The sequence below is a fragment of the Homo sapiens genome, chromosome 6 (assembly GCF_000001405.40).
Source record: "Homo sapiens chromosome 6, GRCh38.p14 Primary Assembly".
In the NCBI taxonomy this organism is placed as follows: Eukaryota; Metazoa; Chordata; class Mammalia; order Primates; family Hominidae; genus Homo; species Homo sapiens.
The window spans coordinates 89,324,282-89,326,624 of NC_000006.12; positions in this window are offsets into that span (position 1 = coordinate 89,324,282).

Consider the following 2,343-nt stretch of genomic DNA (forward strand, 5'->3'; position numbering starts at 1 on the left):
CAGAGCTGGTTGTATGGAAGACTGGAGTTTTATTATTACTCAAATCAGACTCCTGGAAAACTCAGCGATCGTGGCTTTTCAAGATAATTTGGTGGATAGAGGGCTTGTTTTGGAAAAGGGCTGTTACTGTCTTTGTTTCAAAGTTAAACTATAAACTAAGTTCCTCCCAAAGTTAGTTTAACCTACGCTCAGGAATGAACAAGGGCAGCTGGGAGGTCAGAAGCAAGATAAGAGTCAGGTCAGATCTCTTTTACTGTCATAATTTTCTCAGTTATAATTTTTGTAAAGGCAGCTTAAGGTGGTGGTTTTCAATAAATATTTGTTTTGTTGCATGTAGACAACTTTAGGTCCTACCAATTTTTTACTTTAAAGCCCTTTTATCAATAGTTCAATTATTGTAATTACAGTCAGGAGAAAACCATTGTAGGATGGTATAATTATTTTTTTAATCACAACTTTATTGAAATATCATTCACATACCATAAACTCACCCCTTTAATGTGTGGCTTTTGGAATATTCCGTTATGCAGCTCCCCTAAAAGAAGACTCATACCCATTAGAAGTCATTCCCCTTTCCCATTCCCTTCAGCCCCTGGCAACCAACACTAGTTTCTGTCTCTATGAATTTGTCAATTCTAGACATTTTATGTAATTAGAATGATATAATATGCAGCCTTTTGTGTCTGATTTCATTCACTCAGCGTAATGTTTCCAGGGTTCATCAATGAAGCATATATCATCACTTCATTCTTTTTTATGGCCATAATATTCCATTTTCCATAGACATACAATATGTCCATAGACATACAATTCCATTTCCATATACATACAATATGTTGTATGTATAGATACAACATATTGCTTATCCATCAGCTGGGCATTTGAGTTTCTGCTTTGGGGCTATTAAAAATAATGCTGCTATGAATATTTGTGTACAAGGTTGTGTGTAAATGTTTTCATTCCTTTTGGATATTATATGTGGCAGTGAAATTGCTGGGTCATATGGTAACTTTATATTTAACCTTTTGAGGAACTGCCAAATTGTTTTTCAAAGTGGCTGCACCATTTTACCTTCCCACCAGCAATGTATGCGAGTTCCAATATCTCCACATCCTCACGAACACTTGTTATCTGGCTTTTTTGTTCTGACCATCCTTGTGAGTGTAAACTGGAATCACTGTGGTTTTAATGTGCATTTCCCTAATGACTAAGGATGTTGAGCTTCTTTTCAGGTGCTTATTGGGCATTTGGATATCTTCTTTGTAGAAATCTCTATTCAAATTATTTGCCATTTTAAAATCAGGTTATTTCCTTTTTATTACTGAATTGTAATTATTTAGATATTTCAGATACAAGTCCCTTATTAGATATGTGATCTGCAAATATTTTCTCCCATTGTGTTGTCTTTTCACTTTCTTAGTGGTGTTGTTTGATACACAAGAGTTTTTTATTTAAAGAAATATAATTTTCTTTTTTTTTTGGTTGCTTGTGTTTTTCTTTTTTTTTTTTTAAGAGGTACGATCTTGCTCTGTGGCCCAGGCTGGAGTGCAGTGGTGCTATCACAGCTCGCTGTAACCTCAAACTCCTGGGTTCAAGCAATTCTCCCACCTCCACCTCCTGCATAGCTAGGGCTACAGGCTAATTTTTTTTAAATTTTTTGTAGACACAGGGTCTTGCTATGTTGCCCAGGCTGGTTTCAAACTCCCAGCCTCAAGTGATCCTCCACCTCCCAAAATGCTGAGATTATAGGCCTGAGCCACCATGCCAGACCTGCTTGTGCTTTTGATATCATATTTAAGAAACCACTGCATATCCCATTGTCACGTTTACTAAGTTTCCAAGAATTTTATAGTTTTAACTCTTACATTTAGGCCTTTGATCCATTTTGAGTTAATTTTCTTATATGGTGTATGAGGTAGTGGATGGTATAACTTTATTTACTCATTTTTCTCAGGGCAGGGTATAGCCCCAGTGGATCGAGGTCAGAGCTGTGGGAAGGCCCCAAAGGCATTTGCTGAGGTCTGATTATGCCAGACACCTAGGTGGGACTCTAGTCATGCACAGCCTTGTGCTTTATGTTAAGGGTTTCACCCTATCTAAGAGCAACAGGAGAGAAGAGATCAGGTCTGTATATTGAAAACTCTGGCTGCAATGTAAGGAATGGGGTGAGACTAGAGACCTGTTAGGAGGTTACTGCACCAATTTGGAGGAGTTAATAGCTAAATAGGATATAGTGCCTAGTTAGGGAAGTGGAAAGATGAGAGAGAAATATTCTAGGAGGTAGAATGGATGAGAGACAAGACTGGATGATGTAAAGAATACAACCTTTGGTCAAAAACAAGG